Raw genomic sequence first — 23,384 nt, 5'->3', positions numbered from 1 at the left:
GGGATTACAGGCATGCGCCACCATGCCTGGCTAATTTTGTATATTTAGTAGACACGGATTTCTCCATGTAGGTCAGGCTGGTCTCAAACTCCTGACCTCAGGTGATCCACCCACCTCGGCCTCCCAAAGTGCTGGGATTACAGGCATGAGCCACCACGCCCGGCCTGCAACCACCACCTTTTTTACTGACTTCATAGATTGCCTTTTCCAGAATGTCATATAGTTGGAATTATAAAGTTTGTAGCTTTTTCTGATTGGCTTCTTTTACTTAGTAATTAGCATTTAAGGTTCTTCTGTGTCTTTTTATGGCTTGATATCTCATTTCTTTATACTGCTGAATAATACTCTGTTGTCTAGATGTATCACAGTTTATCCATCCACCTATGGAAGGGTATCTTGGTTGCTTCCAAGTTTTGATAATTATGAATAAAGCTGCTGTAAAAAGTGTAACATTTTGCATTCTCATCAGCACTTGATAAGCATTCTTGTTGCTTCCACTCTGTGTATCTTCTTTGATGAGATGTCTGTTCAGGTCTTTTACCTGGTTTTTAAATTTATTTGCATTCTTACAGAGTTTTAAGAGTTCTTTCTATATTTTAGATAACAGTTCTTCATTGTATATGTCAGCAGTCCTCAACTTTTTTGGCACTAGGGACTGGTTTTGTGGAAGACAATTTTTCCATTGACTGGAGTGGAAGCAGGTGGTTTCGGGGTGATTCAAGTGCATTACATTTATTGTGCACTTTATTTCTATTATTAGTACATTGTAATATATAATGAAATAATTGTACAACTCATCATAATGTAGAATCAGTGAGAGCCCTGAGCTTGTTTTCCTGCAATTAGCCAGTCCCATCTGGGGGTTATATGGGATACAGTGACAGATCATCAGGCTTTAGATTCTCATAAGGAGCGTGCAGCCTAGATCCCTCACATGCACATTTCACAATAAGGGTTCGTGCTTCTATGAGAATCTAGTGCTGTCACTGATCTGACAAGGTGCAAAGCTTAGGCAGTAATGCGAGCAATGGGGAACAGCTGTAAATACAGACGAAGCTTCACTCACTCACCTGCCACTTACCTCCTGCTGTGCAGCCCAGTTCCTAACAGGTCACGGACCAGTACTGGGGGTTGGGGACCCCTGATATGTATGATTTGCAAATATTTTCTCAGTGTCTGTGGCTTTTCTTTTCATTCTCTTGACAATGTCTTTCACAAAGCAAAAAATTTTAATTTAGTGACGTTCAGCTTATCAATTTTTTCTTTTACAGATCATGCCTTTGGTGTCATGTCTAAAAAGTCATCACCATACCCAATGCCATCTAGGTTTTCTCCTATGTTACCTTTTAGACAGTTTATAGTTTTGCATTTTGCATTTATGATGCATTTCAAGATAATTTTTGTCAAAGGTGTAAGGTCTATATCTAGATTTACTTTTTTTCTTTTTTTGCATGTGGATGTCTAGTTCTAGCATGACTTGTTGAAAAAATTTTCTTTTTTCTCCATTGTATTGCCTTTGCTCCTTTTTCAAAGATCTGTTGACCATATTTTTGTAGGTATATTTTTGCACTCTCTATTGTGTTCCATTGATGTATTTGTCTTTTCTTTCACCATTACCACACTGTCTTGATTACTGTAGCTTTATAGTAAGTCTTGAAGTTGGTAGTAGTCCTTCAGTTTGTTTTTCTGTCAATATTGTGTTGCCTATGTTAATTTTAGGTATTATGGAATATTATTCACAACTTTACTGATTCAAAAGGTACGCAGATATTTGGCCGAACATTATTTCTGGGTGTGTCTGCGAGGGTGTTTCCAAATGAGATTGATATTTGAATCTGTAGACTGAGTAAAGCAGATTGCCCTCTCTATTGTGGGTGAGTAGGCCTCTTTTGAGGCCTTCCATCTAGCTGGAACCTACACCATTGACACTTCTGGTTCTTAGGCCTTTGAACTTAGACTACAACTTATAAAATGGTTCTCAAGCCTTTTTGTACTTGGACCAGAACTTATAAAATAGTTCTCAAGCCTTTGGACTTGGATTGGAGCTTTCCTGGTTTTACAGCTTAGGCATAGCAGATTGTGGGACATTTCAGTCTGCATAATCACATAAGCCAATTCCTTATTACAAATCTCTTCTTAGATATCTGTTTATATATATATATATGTACAGATATAATAAATTTATCCCATTGGGTTTTTTCCTCTGAATATATGAATAGTTTATGCACTACAATTACAGTTTTAGAGTATTCTGAATTTAACTATGTATGTACCTTTACCAGTGAGTTTTATATTATACTTTCAGATGATTTCTTATTGTGTGTTAGCATCCTTTTCTTTCAAGTTGAAAAATTCTCTTTAGCATTTCTGGTAAGGTAGGTCTGGTGTGAAGTCCTTCATCTTTGTTTATCTACATATTTCTCCTTTGTGTTTGAAGAATAGCTTTGCGGGGTACAGTATTCTCAGTTGAAAGTTGTTTCCTTTTTTTTTTTTTTTCCTTCAGCACATTGAATATGTCATCTCATTCCCTCTTGGCCTGTAAGGTTTCCACTGAGAAGTGTGCTGCCAGATGTATTGGAGTTCCTTCATTTGTTACCTGTTTCTTTTCTCTTACTGCTTTTAGGATTCTTTCTTTGTCCTTAACCTATAAGAGTTTGATTTTATGCCTTGAAGGTAGTCTTATTTGGGGTGAAGCTGCTTGGTGTTCTTTGATCTTATAACTGCATATTTGTATCTTTCTCTAGGTTTGGAAAACTGTTATTATTCCTTTGAATAAACGTTCTACCCCAGTCTCTGTACTTCCTCTTTAAGGCCAATAACTCTTAGATTTGCCCTTTTGAGGCTATTTTCCAGACTTGTAAGCATTCTTCTTTCTTTTTCACTCCTTTTTTCTTTTTCTCCCCTGATTCTGTATTTTGAAATAGCCTGTCTTTAAGCTAATTCTTTCTTCTGCTTGATCAATTCTGTTTAGATAGTAATACATATTTTTGTTCATTAATTGAATATTTCAGCTCCAGGATTTTTGTTGGATTCTTTAAATTATTTTAATCTCTTTGTTAAATTTCCCTGAAAGATTTATGAATTCCTTCTCTGTTTTTTTGAAGTTCATTGAGATTCCTCAAAAAGCTATTTGGAATTCCCTGAGAAGTCATATATCTGTACTACTCCAGGATTGGTCACTGGTGCCTCATTTAGTCTGTTTGGTGAGGTCACATTTTCCTGACTGTTCTTGATGCTTGTGGATGTTTTTCAGTGTCTGGGCATAGAAGAGTTAGATATTTATTCCAGTCTTTGTAATCTGGACTTGTTAGTATCCATCCTTTTTCAGAGGGCCTTCTAAGCATTCAGAGTTTATCTAAAGTATTACCTAAGCCTGTGGTCACTGTAACCATTTCAGCACTAGAGGGCACTCTAAGCCCAGGTACACTGCAACTTCTGCAGATTGCTGAATTCCCAGCCCTAATGGACTTGAAGATAAGGGAGAAGTTGCTGGGTTCCCAGGCAAAATCCCTCTTCTTCCCCCAGGTGGAATGAGTGTCTGTTTATGCTGGTCTGACCAGAGTTGGGGAAGAAGTGACACAGACACTCTTGTGGCCACCACAGCTGGCCTCATGCTGGGTCATATTTGAACTGTCATTGATGTTTACTGAAGGTCCAAGGCCACTTTAGTCAGCAGGTAATGAATCCTGCAGGGACTTGGGGTCCATCCCCCCAGGGCAGAGGATTCCCTTCTGTCCCAGGGTGGGTCTAGAAGTGCCATGTGGGAACAACAGCCTGGAATCAGGGGCTTTAGGATTCTGCCTGGTGCTTTGTTTTACTGTGGCTGGGCTGGTACCTGGGTTGCAAGGCAAAGTCTCCTATACTCTTCCTCTCCTTGCCCCAAGTGGAAGAAGTCTCTACACTGTACTGCCTAGAATGAGGGGAGGGGTGATGGAGGCATTCCCATGGCCACCACAGCTGGTGTCACACTTGGTTGTAGTACCCTGGGCTCACAGCCTCTGCTGAGACCAGCACAGCACTGGGGCTCACCCAAAGACTACAGTTGCCATGGTCTGGCTGCCACTGACATTTATTGGGAGCCCAGGGCCACTTTATTCAGCCAGTAGCAAAGCAGACTAGGACTAAGATTCCTCCCACTAGGGCAGCAGACTTCTTTCTGTCTGTTCAAGGATGGTCTAAATGCCCCCTGTGGGCACCAGTAGATTTCTGCCCAGTGCTGTGTTCCACTGTGACAGGGCAACATGGAGTTCCAGTGCAAAGTCCCGTAGTTATTTCACACTCCCTCTGCAAAGCACAAAGATTATCTCTCTGGGGTGTACTGCCGGGGCTTGGGAGAGGATGGTATAGACAGTTCAAGACTGTCTATGGAGTTCCTATCATCTTCAATGCATCTTTTCTTGTAGGAACTGTGATCTCTTAACTGACTTAGTTCTTATGAAGGTGCTTTTTTGCATGGATAGTTACTCAATTTGATATTCTTGCAGGTCTAGGGGGTGATTGCTGGAAGATTCTGTTTGGCCACCTTTTCATACATTTCTCTCTTTTATGCAGTCGTCATCTGACTCTGTACTTTGAGTGGCCTCCAAAGCCAACTCGGTTTCAGATTTTTATTTTTTCAATAACAAGTAAAATGAAGTGTTATTTTTTATTTCCTTGTTATGCCATAGGTATAAATGGTAAGTGCTTTTATTTGCTCTCTTTATTGATCTGTATGTTTTTTGAGGGTATATGGGGATATTGGAATTTAGATGATTGTCATTATTCTATGAGAACCTAGAATTTTAGCCCTTTAAGTATTTTACTGCCTTAGTAGCTGTTAGGTTAGACCACATAAAATTGCAATTTTTGTAGCTCAAGAACTTTTGAATATCACCAGTTTTATATGGTTCTACCTGATAGAAACATAAGCAAGCTTTTTAGTATTAATTTCAAGTTGATAAAGTCTACATTTTTATCAGCTTTACTGAGGTATAATTTATATACAATAAAATGCACCCATCTAGTGTACAGTTAGTGGGTATTTACAGTTGTTTACACTTATGTAACCACCACCACTATCAAGATATAGAACATTTTTCTCCAGAAAGCTCCCTTGTACCCCTTTGCACTCGTCCCCACACCCTATCCCAGGCAACCTCTAAACTGCTCTCTGTCATTAGATTAGATTTGTAAAGACTGCATTTTAAAATTGGCCTGTGGATCTTGTGTGATTTGAAGCTTGCATACCTTGGCTCTCCTTCCTCTTTATGTGTGCACTAGGCTCAGGGTTTTTTCATTTGTGAATAGGTCCACTCATCTTCTGCCCAGTACTTTAAACTTCATGTATCTTGAACTGAGGTACATCTCTGAAGACTCATTCTGCTTTTCTCTTTCATGTCTTTGCTTATGCTGTCCTTTCTGCCTAGAAAGTTTCCACTCTACTTTACTTTCCTGGTTTATTCCTACTTATCTTTCTAAAATCCATTTATATTGCTGATTTTAGATTGGGTTAGGTACTTTATTTATAGAAATAACTATCTTTGTTTATCTGTTTATCAATCATGTTTTTTATTGTTATATATAGTAATTATTTGTGTCCTTTACTGAGGTAACAGTAGCTTCTTGAGGGTAACAACTATGCCTTCTGCAATTTGGCCATCATTATGCACCTCTACACATGATGCGTACTTAATAAATGTTTAATTCATGCTGAATAAGTTTCAACTTCTGCGTATAGAGTTAAAACTAAATCTACATAGTATAAGTTAAAGAAGTCTTAGTAATAGGAACTAAGAAAAACTGAAGTTGAACTAATGGGATCCTGTAAGCATGAAGGAGAAATGGGCATAGTTCCCTTGGACCATAGTTGTACTTGCTGAAACCAGTTTTGCATGAATTCTTTGCTCTTCAATTCTTCTCTTGCCATGTATTTTTGGAACTTCACCAAGCAATGTCTGTGGAGAATGATAAAATAGCTTTGTGTAAAGTATGAGCTATATGTAGTAAATTAAGTGCAAATAAGAAGAAAAATGAGCTCGCTCGCTCTCCATATATACATATATACACATATATATACACATACATACAAACACACACACGCGCGTGCGCGCGTGCACGCACACTCACCCTGACTTTGTTATCATAAACCCAGAGGGACCTCAAGAACAGCTGTTGGGTTATCTGTCTACTACTAGTAAAGCCAGCTCAAAATTAACTGCAACTACTATTCCTTCTGGATGTTGTCACTGCATAGTAGAGTTATGTAAGCTTTGCTGGAGAAGTTTTAGTCGAGAGAAGTTCAGTAAAGTATATACAAACACATCTGTAATCCTGAAAAAACATATTTTTTATTTACTAAACATAATTTGTGATCATTCTTTATTGTATAGTAATTTTTAAAAATTTGAAAGTGCTACAAGGTGCTCAAATTTATCTCAGTTTGACATTTTCAAAGCAGAAATCTTAAATTTGAAAGTTTCCCATCTTGATTAATAAAAGCCAATTTTTTCCGTCTTATTTTGTAGTCGTACACAGTATGTTAAAATACAACTTTATTTTTACTTGTAGTGTATGCAGAGAATATTTCCAAAATGGTGGGAAGAGAAAAGCACTTGAGAAAGATGAAAAAAGAGCTGTACTTGCCACTAAGACCACTCCAGCCTTAAATATGCATGAGTCTTCTCAACTTGAAGGTCATTTAACCAACCTCAGCTTTACAAACCCTGAATTTATAACTGAGTAAGTATACTTTTTCTACTTTGATTATCCTGGATAACTGTATTAATGTGAAATAATGCAGTGGTTCATACTAAACAGTGAGCAGTTTACTTGCTCCTCCAGTAGTTACATGATAGACTGAGAAATGCAGATAGGTAATATTATTAGATTAAAAACTAGCAGAAAATTGTAAGAGCTATCTGGAAAACTAGTGGTTCTGTAGCATGTGTTGTTCTAACTGAAAATGAGAAAGAATGGTTCATTAAATACGATTATATAATTATACATTGTTACATAATTATATATATTACATATATGTTATGGCTATATGTGTGTATATAACATATAATTGTTATATAATAGTATTATATAGTTATAATGTACAATGTAATATGTAATTATATAACAATATGTAATTCTTATGTAATTATCAAAACAAAGAATCAAAACAGCAAAATACAATTAAAGTGGCTATCCACTAAGAATTTACAAATAAGGAAAAATAATGAAAGGTTATTAATAGAACCAATTACCATTGTTTTATTGTTGGTAAGAAAATCTGCCTGCTAGTAAGATTATATGCATATAGGCATAAATTTTATAAGTACATGACTATTATAATCCAATTAATTATTAGTACAGGCATAACTTATTTATTGCGCTTGCTTTATTGTACTTCACAGATATTACATTTTTTACAAATTGAAGGTTTGTGGCAACCCTGAGTCAAGCAAGTCGATTGGCACCATTTTCCCAATAGCATGTACTCACTGTGGCTCTGTGATATGGTTTAATTGTGTCCCCACCCAAATCTCATCTTGAGTTGTAGCTCCAATAATTCTCATGTGTTGTGGGAAGGACCCTGTGGGAAATAATTGAATCATGGGGGCGGTTTCCCCCATACTGTTCTCGTGGTAGTGAGTAAGTCTCACGAGATCTGATGGTTTTATAAGGAGTTTCCCCTTTAGCTTGGCTCTCATTCTCTCTTGCCTGCCACCATGTAAGTAAGATATGCCTTTCGCCTTCCATCATGATTGTGAGGCCTCCCCAGCAACATGGAGCTGTGAGTCCATTAAACCTCTTTTTCTTTATAAATTACCCAGGCTCAGAGATGTCTTTATCAGCAGCATGAAAACGCACTAATACACTGTCACATTTTAGTAATTCTCACAATATTTCAAACTTTTTCATTATTATGATGTCTGTTTTGGTGATCTGTGATCAGTGATCTTTGATGTTACTATTAAGATTGTTTAGGGGCACCATATAAGACAGTGAACTTATTATCAACCATATAAGACAGTGAACTTATTCAATAAATGTCATGTATGTTCTAACTGCTCCACGGATCCACTGTTCCCCAGTCTCTCTCCCCTCTCCTCTCTCCCCACTCTTCCCTCTCCCCCTCCCCCTCTTCTCTCTCTCTTTCCCTTCACCCCCAGGCCTCTCTATTCCATAAGACACTAGGGAAATTTGGCCAGTTAATAAACCTACAATGGCCTTTAAGTATACAAGTAAAAAGAGGCACTCCTCTGACTAAATCAAAAGCTAGAAGTGATTAAACTTAGTTAGGTAGGCATGTCAAAAGCTGATATAGGCTGAAAGCTAGGCCTTTTCTACCAAAGAATTAACTGAGTTGTGAATTCAAAGGAAAAGTCATTTATTTTATTGTATTTTATTTTATTTTTGAGACGGAGTCTCGCTCTGTCGCCCAGGCTGGCGTGCAGTGGCATGATCTCAGCTCACTGCAAGCTCCGCCTCCCAGGTTCACGCCATTCTCCTGCCTCAGCCTCCTGAGTAGCTGGGACTACAGGTGCGTGCCACTGTGCCAAGCCAATTTTTGTGTTTTTAGTAGAGACGGGGTTTCACCATGTTGGCCAGGACGGTCTGGATCTCTTGACCTCGTGATCCACCTACCTCGGCCTCCCAAAGTGAAGGAAAAATTATTTTTAAAATTGAAAGTGCTATTCAGTGAACACGGGAATGAGAAGAAAGTAAAACAACTTGATTGTGGATGTGGAGAAAGTTTGAGTGGTCTGGATACAAGATGAAACCAACCACAGCATTCCCTCAAGCCAATACCTAATCCAGAGCAAGGGTCTAACTCTCTTCAATTGAAGGCTAAGAGAGGTGAGGAAGCTTCAGAAGAAAGTTTGAAGCTTAACAGAGGTTGGTTCATGAGGTCTAAGAAACCATCTCCATGACATAAAGTGCAAGGTGAAGCAGCAAGTGATGATTTAGAAGCTGCAGCAGGTTATCCAGAAGATCTACCAAAGACCATTCATGAAAGTGGCTACAGTAAACAACTGATTTTTAATGTAGATTTAAAAGCCTTCTATTGGAAGAAGAAGGCGCCTTTTAGGAGTTTCTTGGCTAGAGATCAGAAGTCAATACCTGGCTTCAGAGCTTCAGAGGACAGGCAGCCTCTCTTGTTAGGGGCTAATGCAGCTGGTGACTTTACGTTGAAGCCAGTGTTAATTTACCATTTGAAAATCCTAGGACCCTTAAGAATTATGCTGAATCTACTCTGGCTGTGCTCTGTAAATGGAACAAAGCCTAGATGACAGCACATCTGTTTAAAGAATAGTTTACGGAATATTTAAAGCCTAGTGTTGAGACCTGCCGTTCAGAAAAAAATATTCCTTTCAAAATATTACTGCCCATTGATAATGTACCAGGTCACCCAAGAGCTCTGATATATATGTACGAGGAGATGAATGTTGTTTTCGTGCCTGCTAATACAACGTCCATTCTGCAGCCCATGGATCAAGGAGTAATTTAGACTTTCAGGTCATATTATTATTATTTTTTTTTTTTTGGAGATGGGTCTCATTCTGTTGCCCAGGCTGGAGTGGAGTGGCATGATCACAGCTCACAGGAGCCTTGACCTCCTGGGCTCAAGTGACCCTCCCACCTCAGCCTCCCCAGTAGCTGGCACCACAAGCATGCACCACCATGCCCAGCTAACTTTTTTAAAATTTTTTATAGAGAGAGAATCTCCCTATATTGCCCAGGCAGGTCTCAAATTTCTGGACTCAAGCAATCCTCCCGTCTCAGCCTCTGGAAGTGCTAGGATTACAGGCATGAGTCACTGAGCCTGGCTCAAGTCATGTTATTTAAGAAATACATTTTGTAAGGCTGTAGTTGTCATGGCGATTTCTCTGATGGATCTGGGCAAAGTCCATTAAAACCTTCTGGAAAGGACTCACCATTCTAGATGCCATTAAGAACATTTGTGATTCATGGGAGCAGATCAGAATATTAACATGAATATGAGTTTGGAGGAGTTTATTCCAAGCCTCATGGATGAAATAACTGCAGATGTGGTGGGAAAAACTAGAATTAGAAGTGGAGCCTGAAGATGGGACTGAATTGCTGCAATTTCATGATAAAACTTGAATGGATGAGGAGTCGTTTCTTATGGATGAGCAAAGGAAGTGTCTTTTTGAGATGGCATCTACTGGTGAAGATGCTGTGAACATTGTTAGAATGACAAAGGATTTAGAATATTATATAAAATTTAATTGATAAAGCAGTGGTTGGGTTTGAGAGGACTGACCAATTTTAAAAGAAATTCTGTGAGTAAAATGCTGTCAAGCAGCATCACATGCTGATGCTTCAGAGAAATCATTCATGATAGGTACAGCCAATGTATGTGGCAAACTTTAGTGTTGTCTTATTTTTAGAAATTCTGATAGCACCCCAGCTTTCAGCAACCATCATGCTAATCAGTCAGCAGCCATGAGTATCAAGGCAAAGCTTCCACCAGTAAAAAGATTACAACTTGCTGGAGGCTCAAATGATGACTAGCATTTTTTAGCCATAAAGTATTTTAAAATTAAGATCTGTACATTGTTTTTTAGACAATGCTATTGCACACTTCATAGACTATGGTGTAGTGGAACATAACTTATATGCACTGGAAAACCAAAAAAATTTTGTAACTTGCTTTATTGCAGTAGTCTGGAACCAAAGCTGTAGTATCTCTGAGGTATTTCGCTGTAATATTAAAATTGTTCCTATACCCTTTTACCCTGTTGGTTTGTGGTATCAAGTGTATTTTGTTAATTACTTAAAAATGCTAAACTTGAATAGTTATAGAAATATTCTTGATAGACACAGAAAATAATTATGAAAGTAAGATACTCTTAAGCAGTTCCAAAACTATAGATAATAACAAGCATTACTTTTGGTTGCTTTGATTTTAAATCATGTTGAAAATATTACCTAGTTTTAAGCAATTACGTTTAAAAATCAAAATATCTTTGATTACTTCAGTAGGGAACCATAAGCCATCTTTACCTTTATTCAAAGGTTACTACAAAGCTTATAATGCATAACGACTTACTAAACATCCTTTAACTCATGTGTTATGGACATTCTTAAATATTAATATTTTAAGTGTTGGCCAGTTAAAGAAATTATATAGTTATACTTCTATCAAACACAGATATGTATGGAAAATATCAACTTTAGATTTCTATATATTTTTTATAGCTCTGTTATATTGTTGAGATTCCCTTATTTATTGAGTCATTGTTACTGCATTTTCCTTTGATTCTTTAAGCATGATTTCCTTAAATTTGTTAAATATTTTTATGGCTGGGCACATTGGCTCATGCCTGTAATCCCAGCACTTTGAGAGGCCAAGACAGGTGGATTGCTTGAGTCCAGGAGTTCAGGACCAGCCTGGACAACATGACAAAACCTGTCTCTACAAAAAAATAACAAAAAAGCCAGGTGTAGTGGCATGTGCCTGTGGTCCTAGCTACTCGGGAGGCTAAAGCGAAAGGATCACTTGAGCCTGGAAGGTGGAGGTTGCAGTGAGTAGAGATCACACCTCTCACTGTACTCCAGCCTGAGTGACAGAGTGATACCCTGTCTTAAAAAAAAAAAAGTATTCATATATATGTATATATGTATACTTTTTTATTTTTATAATATATATATATTTTGTAATCACTGCCTTAAAGTTTTTGTCTGTTTAACCCAACATTTGGGCTCACTCAAGAGTCCATTTACTACTTTTTTTCCCCTGAGTATGGACTATGCTTTTCCGGGTTTCTTTGCATGTCTCATAATTTTTGGTTAAAAAGTATAGAAACTGTCATGGATTTTTTTCCCCTACAAGCGTTAGTAGTAGTGTTTCTCAGTAATTTGCTTAGACTTAATCTGTGGAATCTGTCTCCCTTATTATGTTTAGTGTTTTTTTCAGAGGTGGGGGGGGTTGTTATTTTTTAGGCTGATTTCCTAGGGGTTGCACCAGTATCTGCATAATTTAGTAGCCAAACAATGATAGGTTAGAGGTTGCGCTCAAACACCTCAGTCAGTAAGGCTTCCACCCTCTTCCAGTAGAGTGCGTCTTGATTGGGGAGTGCATTAAACATTTAGGCGCTTTTCAAATCTGCCTCACCTTTTACTTTCTTCTAGGCCCTCTTGGGTTTTCTCTGCATATTCACATAGCCTCCCCATCAGCCATGGCTTTGTGGGGAGCTTATCTAACTCCTCTATATCTATCTCATTTCCAGGATCTTTGTTAAATTTCTGACTAGTCCTCCATTCTGCAGCTCAACCCAACCACAACTACAGCCTGAGACTAGCGTAGCTGCTGACTTTCCATGCTTGTTTCTTCCAAGTTTGCTGCTTTTACTGACACTGCTCTGTGTAGGTTTTTTACCCTTTGCTCCAAATCAAGTTAGCCGCCTCTAGCAGTGAAGCTGCTATTTTTTAACGAGTCCTGTCCTGGAGGAAGTTTCATACTAGCTAAGCAGGGGTTGGGGGTGGTGAGAGCAGCTCCAGGCAAAGATAGGACAGATCCTCACTGTTCCTAAGCTAGGTTCACCTGGTTTTTATGAATAAACACTTTTCATCTTATTTGCCTTTGTTTGAGCCCTAAAGTAGTTGTTTTTGATGATCTTATCCAGGATAGTTTTATAGTTGTTTCTTGAATCGTGGAAGGGATTAACTTAGTATTGAAATTTAGCATTAAAATGATTTAGCCCTGGATGGCTTGGTTTAGATTTTGTTCATTCTAAAAACTCTGAACTCCTTAATATAGCATCAGTCCCCATTGTGTGTGTGTGTATTCTCATTCTTCCTTCTCCTGCCACTATTCTTGCAGCTTGTATTCTGGTCACATGGACCTATTTTAAATTCCTCTAGTGTGGTACATGCTTGTTCTCACTTTCTGGCAATTGCAAATGGGATACGTTCTAATTCTGATAAACTATTGGTGTATTTTATGTTAGACTATATTTGAAGCATGTTCTCTTCCAGAACTTTCTCAGAACTTCCCAAAAGAATTGATACTCTTTGATACCAGTATTGAACTTTCTTTATAACTCTGTTGTGGTATTTATATTGTGTTAAAATTCACTGTTGAACATTTTTCTAACTACAAATGAAATTGAGGTATGAAAAATTTGCCATAGAACAGATATTATAGACATAGAAAAAAGATCACTCAATCCTGGTTACATTTAGGTACACTTCTTTCTAGTCTTTTTACTAGGCATTGTTATTTAAACAAAAGAGGCTATGTTGCATAAAGTATTTTGTAAACTTCTCTTCCCATGCCACTAGAATGCTGTTTTGCATAATATTTCATCATGAAAATCTACCACTGTTTGTGTCTAAATATAAAATGATCCGAAATACCAAATAATACTCCAGTTTCCCAAAGAGAAATCTTTCTCTCTCTCAAACATACATACCTCACATACCACTTTTAAATATGTAGATGAAATAAAGGTCAGATATTTACTGGTTTAGTCACAGATATTATATAGGAAGATATGTATCCTTTACTATCAAAAACTATTCAACTTTTTAGTTTAGATAGCAAGTTCGGATATCAAGAGTTATCTTTTTCTAAGGCTTATCTCCAAATATCTTTCAAGCCATTTGATATCTGGGTTCAGATAGCAAGGGTTCACATAGTAAAGATATACTTTTTTGCACTTAGATTTCATGCATACCCAATTTTTGTTACTACTGGAGTCACCTTTAAGTCATCTATATCTCAGAATTTAGATATGGCACTTTTTGAATATGTGTATAACATGATTACTGGAAATTTTATCCCAAACCCCAATTACCCATTTCCCTAACACTAGGAAAGCTGTGTGTCTACCTCTCCTTCATTGTGTACACATATATTTGTAATTATCACAAAATACTTACTTTGCTGACTTTTTAAAAACATTTATAATTTTTCAAAATATTCACCAAGTATGCTACCATATTTGGCCATAAAACACATCTTAACCAATTTAAAAAGATAGATCATTATACAGAGTATGCCTTCTCTCACACTACAACAGAATTAAACTAGAAATCAGTAACAGAGAACTGAAGAGTCCCAAAATATTTGTAGATCTAACATCACACCTCTAAATAGCACAAGGGTCAGATAAGTAAGTCTCAGAAGAATTAGAAAATGTTTTTGAACTAACTGAAAATGAAAACATACCTCATCAAATTTGTAGTATGTTCTGACAGCAGTACTTAGAGGGAAATATGTAGCATTGAATGCACGTTAGAAAAGAAGGTGCAAAATCAATAATATAAGCATCTATCTTTGGAAACTAGAAAAGTAAGAGCAAATTAAATCTAAGCAGAAGAAAAGAAAAATTAGAACAGAAATTAATGAAATTGAAAACAGAAAAACAATAGAGAAAATCAGTGAAACCAAAAGGTTTCATTTGAAAAGATCAACAAAATTAATAGACCTGTAGCCAAGCTAACCAACGAAAAGAGATAGGATACAAATTACTAATAAATACCAAAAATGAAAGAGAGCCCACCATTACTGATTCCATCAATAGTAAAAGAATAAAAAGGAATATTATGAACAATTCTACGACTACATATTTGATAACTTGGATGAAATAGACTGGTTCCTTGAAAGATACAATCTACTAAAACTCAGACAAGGAGATATAGATAATATGGAAAGCCTATATCTATTACAGAAATTGAAGAAATAATTAACTGCCTTTTAAAACAGGAAGCACCAGGCTCAGATGTTTTCACTGGTGAAATATACCAGACATTTAAGGAAGGAAGAATACCAGTTCTCTACAATCTGTTCCTGAAAACAGAATCAGAGGGAACACTTTCTAACTCATTCTGTGAGGCCAGGAGAATGAAGTTTAAGACACTGAACCAGTTTTCCCATTTCCAAATGTGAATTAACATTTTCTTGTTCCTGACTGATTGTATAAACATGATTATTAGATAATGACTGAATCTGTATTTGGGGGTTAAGTTACACTTTGGTTGCTGGTGATGGAAACAAACCTAAGGCCAGTAGGACATTGGAGAATTTATCTAGTTGCCTGATGATACGGCTGTTTAATACGATCTTTTTAAAAACGAATAATATGATCTTATATTTTTTATTTATTTATTTATTTTGAGATGGAGTCTCGCTCTGTAGCCCAGGCTGGAGTAGAGTGGCACATTCTAGGCTTACTGCAGCCTCTGCCTCCCAGGTCCTGGTTCAAGCAATTCTTCTGCCTCAGCCTCCCAAGTAGCTGGGATTACAGGTGCATGCCACCATGCTCAGCTAATTTTTTGTATTTTTAGTAGAGATGGGGTTTCACCATGTTGGCCCAGGCTGGTCTTGAACTTCTGACCTCGTGATCTGCCTTCCTCGGCCTCCAAAGTGCTGGGATTACAGGAGTGAGCCGCTGTGCCTGGCCCAGTATGATCTTTTAAAGAAAACATCCAATAATTGCCATTGGAAAGCTGTACTTCAATGTATAATTACCAAATTGGTACTAAATTTCTTTGCCTCTGTGTGGGGGCAGGGAGATATGGTGGAACCAAGTTTATCAAGTGATTTCTTACCAGGTAAGTAACCAAGCTACACTGTATGAAGTCCTTTCAGGCCAGTGTTAGTTTTCCCCAAAATAGTCTTTATTGTTCAAAGTAAAAAAATTGAGAGGGCTGAATAGCATAGAGACTTTGTACGGCTCAAACATAAGCTGATGCTCTCTTTTTTGAAGGACAGTATGGTAGAAAGAATCTTGCTTTATATGAATTGTTCTTTCATTGGACATTTAGGTTGTTTCCTTTCTCACAGCTGTTTTATTTCAGCAATAAATCTTTGTGCTTGAGTTTTCATGTCTTTGGGATGGATTCCCAGAAGTGGAGTTTTAGGTTGAAGAGTATAAATGGGCTCTTGTACATATTACTGAATTCCTTTCCAGAAAGATAATACTAATTCCATTATCTCTAGCAATATAAATGCCCATTTTGCCAAAACTCACTAGCATTAAGTATTTTCATTTTTTCACTCTTTATTAACATGATGGAATAAAATGGCATCCCATCTGATATGGTTTGGCCGTGTCCTCACCCAAATGTCATCTTATATTGTAGTTCCCATAATCCCCACATGTCATAGAAGGGACCTGGTGGGAGGTAATTAAATCATGGGGGTGGTTACCCCCATGCCGTTGTTCTCATGATACCAAGTGAGTTTTCACAAGATCTCATAGTTTTATAAGGGGCTTTTCCCCCTTTTGCTCAGCACTTCTCCTTGCTGCCACCAGGTGAGGAAGGACATGTTTGCTTTCCCTTCCACCATGATTGTAAGTTTCCTGAGGCTTTCCCAGCCATGCTGAACTGTGAGTCAATTAAACCTCTTTCCTTTATAAGTTACCCAGTCTCGGGTATGTCTTTATTAGTAGTATGATAATGGACTAATACAGTAAATTGGTACCACAGAAAGTGGGGTGTTGCTATAAAGATACCCAAAAATGTGGGAGCAACTTTGGAACTGGGTAACAGGCAGACGTCAGAACAGTTTGGAGGGCTCAGAAGAAGACAGTAAAATGTGGGAATGCTTGGAACTTCCAAGAGACTTGAAGGGCTCAGAAGATAGGAAGATGTGGGAAAGTTTGGAACTTCCTAAAGACTTGTCAAATGGTTTTGACCAAAATGCTGGTGGTGATATGGACAATGAAGTCCAGGCTGAGGCTGAGGTGGCCTCAGATGGAGATGGGGAACTAGTTGGGAACTGGAGTAAGGGTCACTCATCCTATGCAAAGAGACTGGCAGCATTTTGCTCCTGCCCCAGAGATCTGTGGAACTTTGAACTTGAGAGAGATGATTTAAGGTATCTGGTGGAAGAAATTTCTAAGTGGCAAAGTGCTCAAGAGGAAGCAGAGCATAAAAGTTTGGAAAATTTGCAGCCTGATGATATGATAGAAAAGAAAAACCCGTTTTCTGGGGAGAAATTCAAGCTGGCTACAGAAATTTGCATAGGTAACGAGGAGCCAAATGTGAATCACCAAGACAGTGGGGAAAATGCCTCCAGGGCACATCAGAGATCTTCACAGCAGCCCCTCTCATCACAGGCCTAGAAGCCTAGGGAGGAAAAATGGTTTCATGGGCTGATCCCAGGGCCCCCCCTGCCCTGTGCAGCCTTGAGACATGGTGCCCTGCATCCCAGCTGCTTCAGCTCCAGCTGTGGCTAAAAGGGGCCAAGGTACAGCTCAGGCCATTGCTTCAGAGGGTGCAAGTCCCAAGACTTGAAGGCTTCCACATGGTGTTGAGCCTGTGGGTGCATACAAAGTGTGTGAATAGAAGAATTGAGGTTTGGGAACCTCTGCCTAGATTTCAGAGGATGTATGAAACATCTGAATGTCCAGGCAGAAGTTTTCTGCAGGGGTGGAACCCTCATGGAGAACCTCTGCTAGGGCAGTGTGGAAGGGAAATGTGGTCTTGGAACCTCCACACAGAGTCCCTACTGGGGCACTGCCTAGCAGAGTTTTAGGAAGAGAGCCACCATCCTCCAGATCCTAGAATGGTTAGATCCACCAGCAGCTTGCATTGTGCACCTGGAAAAGCCACAGACACTCAACACCAGCCTGTGAAAGCAGCCAGGAGAGGGGCTGTACCCTGCAAAGCCACAGGGGTGGAGCTGCCCAAGGCTGTGGGAGGCTACCTCTTGCAGCAGCATGACCTGGATGTGAGACATGGAGTCCAAGGAGATCATTTTGGAACTTGGAGGTTTAATGACTGCCCTATTGGATTTCGGACTTATATGGAACCTGTAGCCCCTTTGTTTTGGCCAATTTCTCCCATTTGGAATGGGTGTATTTACCCAGTGCCTGTACCCCCATTGTATCTAGGAAGTAACTAACTTGCATTTATTTTACAAGCTCGTAGGCAGAAGGGACTTGCCTTGTCTCAGATGAGACCTTGGACTTGGACTTTTGGGTTAATAACAGAATGAGTTAAGACTTCGAGGAACTGTAGGGAAGGCATGATGGTGTCTTGAAATGTGAGGACATGACATTTGGGAGGGGCTGGGGTAAAATGATGTGATCTGGCATTGTCCCCACCCAAATCTCATCTTGAATTCTAGTTCCTATAATCCCCACATGTTGTGGGAAGGACCCGGTGGAAGGTAATTGAATAATGGGGCAATTACCCCCATGCTGCTGTTCTCAGGATAGTGAGTGAGTTCTCACAAGATCTGATGGTTTTATTAATGGGCTTATAAAACTCCTTGCTCTGCACTTCTCCTTGCTGCCACCATGTGAGGAAGGACGTGTTTGCTTCTCCTTCTGCTATGATTGTGTTTCCTGAGGCCTCCCCAGCCATGCTGAATTGTGAGTCAATTAAACCTATTTCCTTTATAAATTGACCCATCTGGGGTATGTCTTTATCAGCAGCATGAGAACAGACTAATACACCATTGTATTAGTGTGCATTTCTAATGGATACATAAAATACAACAAGGAAAAGCGAATTTGTAAAATAGAAGGAAAATAGTGGGAAGTCAGAAAAGTAAAATGCATTCTGCGAAATTCTAGTACTTGCCATGGCAGAAGTATGGCATGCATGTCATCATCATACTTTCCAAAATCTATGATAAATATAGGTAATTTATCATAGGATCATTCCTACAGAGCCTGGGCTTGGCCTAAGAATGCTTTATGCACAGTGCTCTAAGAAGCATTACCAGTAGTCAGTTTGAGAAAAGAAACTCATCCTCATCTGCCATTTATGTCCATTACCCTTGCTATAAATAGGAATACAGTTTTGACTTTAAGCTTCTTGGCAACTAAGACATAGCTGTGAATAGAATCATTTCTTTATTTCCTTTTTTGCTATTGTTTTTTAGAATTATCTGTTTGGGGATATTAAGTATTTACCAATTTGAGTTCTTTAGTACTCAAGATATACTTGATATATGTAGTTATTGAAGGAGGGGCTTTAACACATGCTTCTCAGGTGAAAGAATGGAAGAGACAGACAAAAGGAAAGAAGGATGGAAAGGATGGAAGGACATATTTAGAATAGCAGGGTCATGTTTTTATAACAATCTACTTGAGATTGTTAACTGGAAAAAAGGAAGAGGGGAAGGAGTAGTGGCAGTCAGCCAAAGGAAAGAGTACAAAACATATTAGATGGTCACTGCCAATCCAAGAGTCTTACTATAGGCCTTATCTCCATTCTGCCTTAAGATATAAAATATTGGACATATTCTTAAAAGATTTGTGACAAAGAGTAATATACTGCATGACAATAGGAAATTATCTAATAAAAAGGACTGAATTAGATATTAATGCTTTTTTTGCTAGTTCAGTTTATAACAGTTTAAACGTGATTTTTTAATATCCTCTTTAATGCTCTCTGGTTTAGGAGTTTTTGTTTTAAGTTAGCAGTTCATTTCTGTTCAGTTTTCACATTCTTTTTATTTTCTTGGACTTTTTAATATTGGAGGTGATCCTAGTGAGCAAAAGATGTTACACTAGTAAAGGAGGAAGTTAAATGTCCTTTTCTTTTTTTTTTTTTTTTTTTTAAAAAAAGATGTTACAGTAGTAAAGGAGGAAGTTAAATTTTTTGTTGTTGTTGGTTGGTTGGTTCGTTGGTTGTTTTTCAAGACAGAGTCTTGCTCTGTTGGCAGGCTGGAGTGCAGTGGCTTGATCTCAGCTCACTGCAACCTCCGACTCCCTGATTCAGGCTATTCTCCTGCCTCAGCCTCCTGAGTAGCTGGGATTACAGGCACGTGCCACCACACCCAGCTAATTTTTTTATATTTAGTAGAGATGGGGTTTCACCATGTTGGCCAGGATGATCTCGATCTCCTGACCTCATGATCCTCCTGCCTCGGCCTCCCAAAGTGCTGGGATTACAGGCGTGAGCTACTACACCTGGAAATGTCTTTTTAACATAATGTCTTTGGATCCTTAGGCTGTCACTTTTCCAGCCAGAAATTCCTATGGCTGGTGGTGCCTTTGTCCAAGTTTTGCTTGAGCCCACTGGGCTCATTCTGCTGACTCAGCCTGGCAGGTTGTTATCAGCTTGTGCTACCAGCCCAGATCCCATGCCTGCCAAGGGCAAGCCAGGTGCAGAGTGGCAAGGGGTGTGTGAGTGAACATGGGGTCCGGCCACTGCACACAGCCAGGCGTGCCAGCTGCTGTGGCGGGGCATGCAGCTCCAGACAAGCCTGCTGCTGGATCCAGTGTACCACAAGCAGCTTCCGCTGTGGGCATCCATGTCTGAACAAGGGGAATGCAGTGGTGCCTGGAAGCATGGAGACACCAGAAACCACAGAGCCCCAAAGAGGGTTTCACAGCCTTGGCTCAGGGAGCCAATTGGTCTGGGCTCCCCAAGGGCCGCAGCTCTTCTCTCCTTGTTGCCCGCAATGTGTCAAGCGGGGTAGGGGGCCATTTCAGCCTCCTGTTTTGTTCAGCTCTTTCAGTCCTGTCATTGGGTGGGTCCCTAGTTCTTTTCCCGTATCCAGGAAAAATGTACACAGACAGCTGGAGGGTGGGCAAGGTGGAGAAGAGCTTTATTGAGTGACAGAACAGCTCTCAGGAGACCCAAGTGGTAGCTTCTCTGCAGGCAGGTTGTCCTGACAAGTGTCCAGCTCTCAGCGGAGAGGAGACCCAGAGTTGGTAACTTGTTTCTGTAGGCAGGCAGTCCTGAGTGTAACCCTCCATGGAGGGGAGACCCGGAGTGAGTAGCTCTTATTTGCAGGCATGTCATCCCAATGAGTCGAGGAGACCTGAATTGGGTAGCTCCTTACCGCAGCTGGTAGTCCCAATGTCTGTTTGAGTCTGGCTGAGTCAAGGGTTTTTATGGACTCAGAAGGGAGGAAGTGTGTGCTGACTGGGCCATTGGCAGGCCCAGAAAAAGCACCATAACCTCTCATTCTGGGTGGTAGACTCCATCTGGAACTGACAAGTCAGCCCCCTGGCTGAGTTGAGTCTTCAAGCTGTCCCTGGCTTGAAGGTGGGGCTTCATGTCATCCATGGCACCCAGGCTATTCATGCCAAGGGGTGCCTGCACCAGGCTACCCTTATGCTGCCCTTGGCCTCCCTCCTATGCTCGTCAGTGCCCAAAGTCTGGAGGGGGCCAAGGTGGCAGGGGGCTGGAGTGTCAGCACTATACATGCATACCCAGCCAGGTTACAACAATGCCTGGACTCGGCCCACAACTTTGCTCTGAAATTGGAGTGGGCGGCAGGAGCAGGCACTTCTGAGCCTGCGGGGCAGTGGAGCTTCCCAGGCCCCCAAGAGCGCAGGGATGCCCGGGTCTGCAGCCGCAGCTGAACAGCTGCGCCCAGGAGGGTGGGGCTCTTTCCCTTCCAACTTGGGAGAGGAAGGGTCTTCCACCTGTTCCCGGATCCTGCCAGCTTCATGGAGTGTGTAGCTCTGGCCACACCTCCCCTGCTGCAGCCAGTGTCTTTGCAGCAGCCACTCCAGACAGGCTACCGCTGCCATCAATAATATACACATACAAAATTGTAAGTATTTCAGTGATGGTTTTTAATAGTTTTGCTTCTAGTTTGAAATCCGTTGTATATTAATCAAATATATATACAAATATATTGAAACCTGAAAGTTAAATCCTACATGTATTTTGCTGAAATCTTAATTGGATAAGTTTATAATTACAAATACCAGATGTCTCTGGAGGCTTAGTATTTAATATTAAGATATTAAGTCCTCTGTAAAAAATGCATAATCTAGTTTTTAAAGCTATTTATGCAGAAAGAATGCTTATTATCAATTTCAAAATTAAGTTTCCCTCCTTAGATTTTCTAGACTTAAAAAATTATATTGAAGTTTATTAATAAATGGAGTGCAAATGATCTGTGCTTATCAGTTGCTTCTTTACAGTTACTTACCTAATTTTTAGCACTGGCTCAGGGAATAACTTTGGGGAAATATCTAACATTCTGAGTCTCTTTTTCTTCTATAAAAGAAATACTGTATGATCGTCTAGCTGGTTTTTTGGGGGGAATTACTATGTTTAAAAACCCTAAAGCTCTACATTTTCTGATCATGACCCAAAGCTCTAGGCATTGAGAATGAAAATAGTGATGATTATAAGGTTCAAATCATTTGAGTAACAGCTCAATTGGCAAATTTTTTAGAAGAATGTCATGATCCAGGTTTCTATAATGTGACTGTATAAATGAAAATGATGATTGCGGAATATTTTCTACTGAAAGAAATTGTCTGGAGGAATTCATAAAGTAAATGTGTTTCCTTAGTCAGAGGTACAGCATTCAAAAAATTTATTCTGTTAACCTGTTTATAAGATTCTTAATGTAGTTCTGTATATTATGTCCCTAACTAGTAAAGATTTACTTATTATTTTAGTAACTAGAATTGAATCTAATTTAATTTAAAAGGTTAACTAGACTTATATGTAAAATTATAGAAAGATAATTTAGAGAATTGAGTCTTCACTGTTTAGTTTTAACTAACAAATGACTATTTTCAAATGAGTTTTAAGCTAAAACCCTTACCAGAGCAAATATCTGTGAATATTACTCATTTTATGGGCATGGCAGATGTATGTTCTACAGGTTGAGCACTCCAAATCTGAAAATTCAGAATCAAAATTGCCCCAAAATCTCAAACTGTTGAAGCTCCAATATGTTACTTGAAGGAAGTGTTCATTGGAGCACTTCAGATAAATATAATGCAAGTATTCCAAAACCCAAAACACTTCTGGTCCTAAGCATTTCAGATTAGTACTGAGCCTGTATTAGCTTATTTTGTGGCAATAGTGGCAATTTAGTAGTTAATGACAATCAACTTCTGTATTCTCCTTCCTATCTTTCTTCTGTCACTGCGATGTTATCTTCTTTTAAAAATCCTCATCTTAATTCTTGTGCTATAAAAACCTGTTTTTTAAAAATAAGTCCATCTACTTGTTTCATAATAACAGTATTTTCCCTTTCTCTGTGTCTCTCTTAATTGTTGGTCCTGGATTCTCTACTCTTCACACTCAGCGTATGGCAGCTGCACATGGCGGCTTGATTAACTCTTATAGCTTTGTTTCCACATATATGCTGATTATTCCAAATCTCTGTCTTCAGTTCAGACCTCTGACTTGACCTCCATATATCTAGTTGCCCACTAGACCTCTCTGTTTGTTTTTGTGCCAGTGAAATATCCTTGTGTCATAAGCGAGCTAATTTTCTCTCCTTTCCTACCTCCTGAACCACTCAGATTGATTCCTCTTCCAGAGTTCCCTATTTCTAATTAAATCCATACACATATCCAAGCCAGAAACTTTTAAGATTTATTTTTGACCCCTTCCGCTGTTTTACTTCGCACATCTGGTTAATCACCAAGTCCTACTATCAATTCTAAATTCTCAATTTTGTGTTAGTCTGTCTACCTCTATCTCATCTCTTACTAAGT

At 39.1% G+C, this 23,384-nt stretch overlaps 1 protein-coding gene across 1 annotated transcript in view, besides 2 other annotated features; it reads left to right on the top strand.

The window, feature by feature from the left end:
* SAMTOR (S-adenosylmethionine sensor upstream of mTORC1) overlaps positions 1-23,384 on the top strand; it is a 120,729-nt gene that overhangs the window by 37,590 nt on the left and 59,755 nt on the right. Inside the window, exon 3 of the mRNA NM_152556.3 lies at positions 6,547-6,717. Coding sequence (NP_689769.2) covers positions 6,547-6,717 — 171 coding nt within the window. The remainder of the gene's footprint in view (positions 1-6,546; positions 6,718-23,384) is intronic.
* Positions 3,337-3,386: an enhancer, noted in NCBI's record as "active region_26519". NCBI's record gives its function as "activates an Ori minimal core promoter by ATAC-STARR-seq in GM12878 lymphoblastoid cells {active_cell/tissue: GM12878}" and the evidence as "EXISTENCE:reporter gene assay evidence [ECO:0000049][PMID:35858748]".
* Positions 3,567-3,666: an enhancer, noted in NCBI's record as "active region_26518". NCBI's record gives its function as "activates an Ori minimal core promoter by ATAC-STARR-seq in GM12878 lymphoblastoid cells {active_cell/tissue: GM12878}" and the evidence as "EXISTENCE:reporter gene assay evidence [ECO:0000049][PMID:35858748]".

The sequence above is a fragment of the Homo sapiens genome, chromosome 7 (genome assembly GCF_000001405.40).
Source record: "Homo sapiens chromosome 7, GRCh38.p14 Primary Assembly".
Lineage (NCBI taxonomy): Eukaryota > Metazoa > Chordata > Mammalia > Primates > Hominidae > Homo > Homo sapiens.
This window is presented reverse-complemented; position numbering and strand designations above follow the sequence as displayed.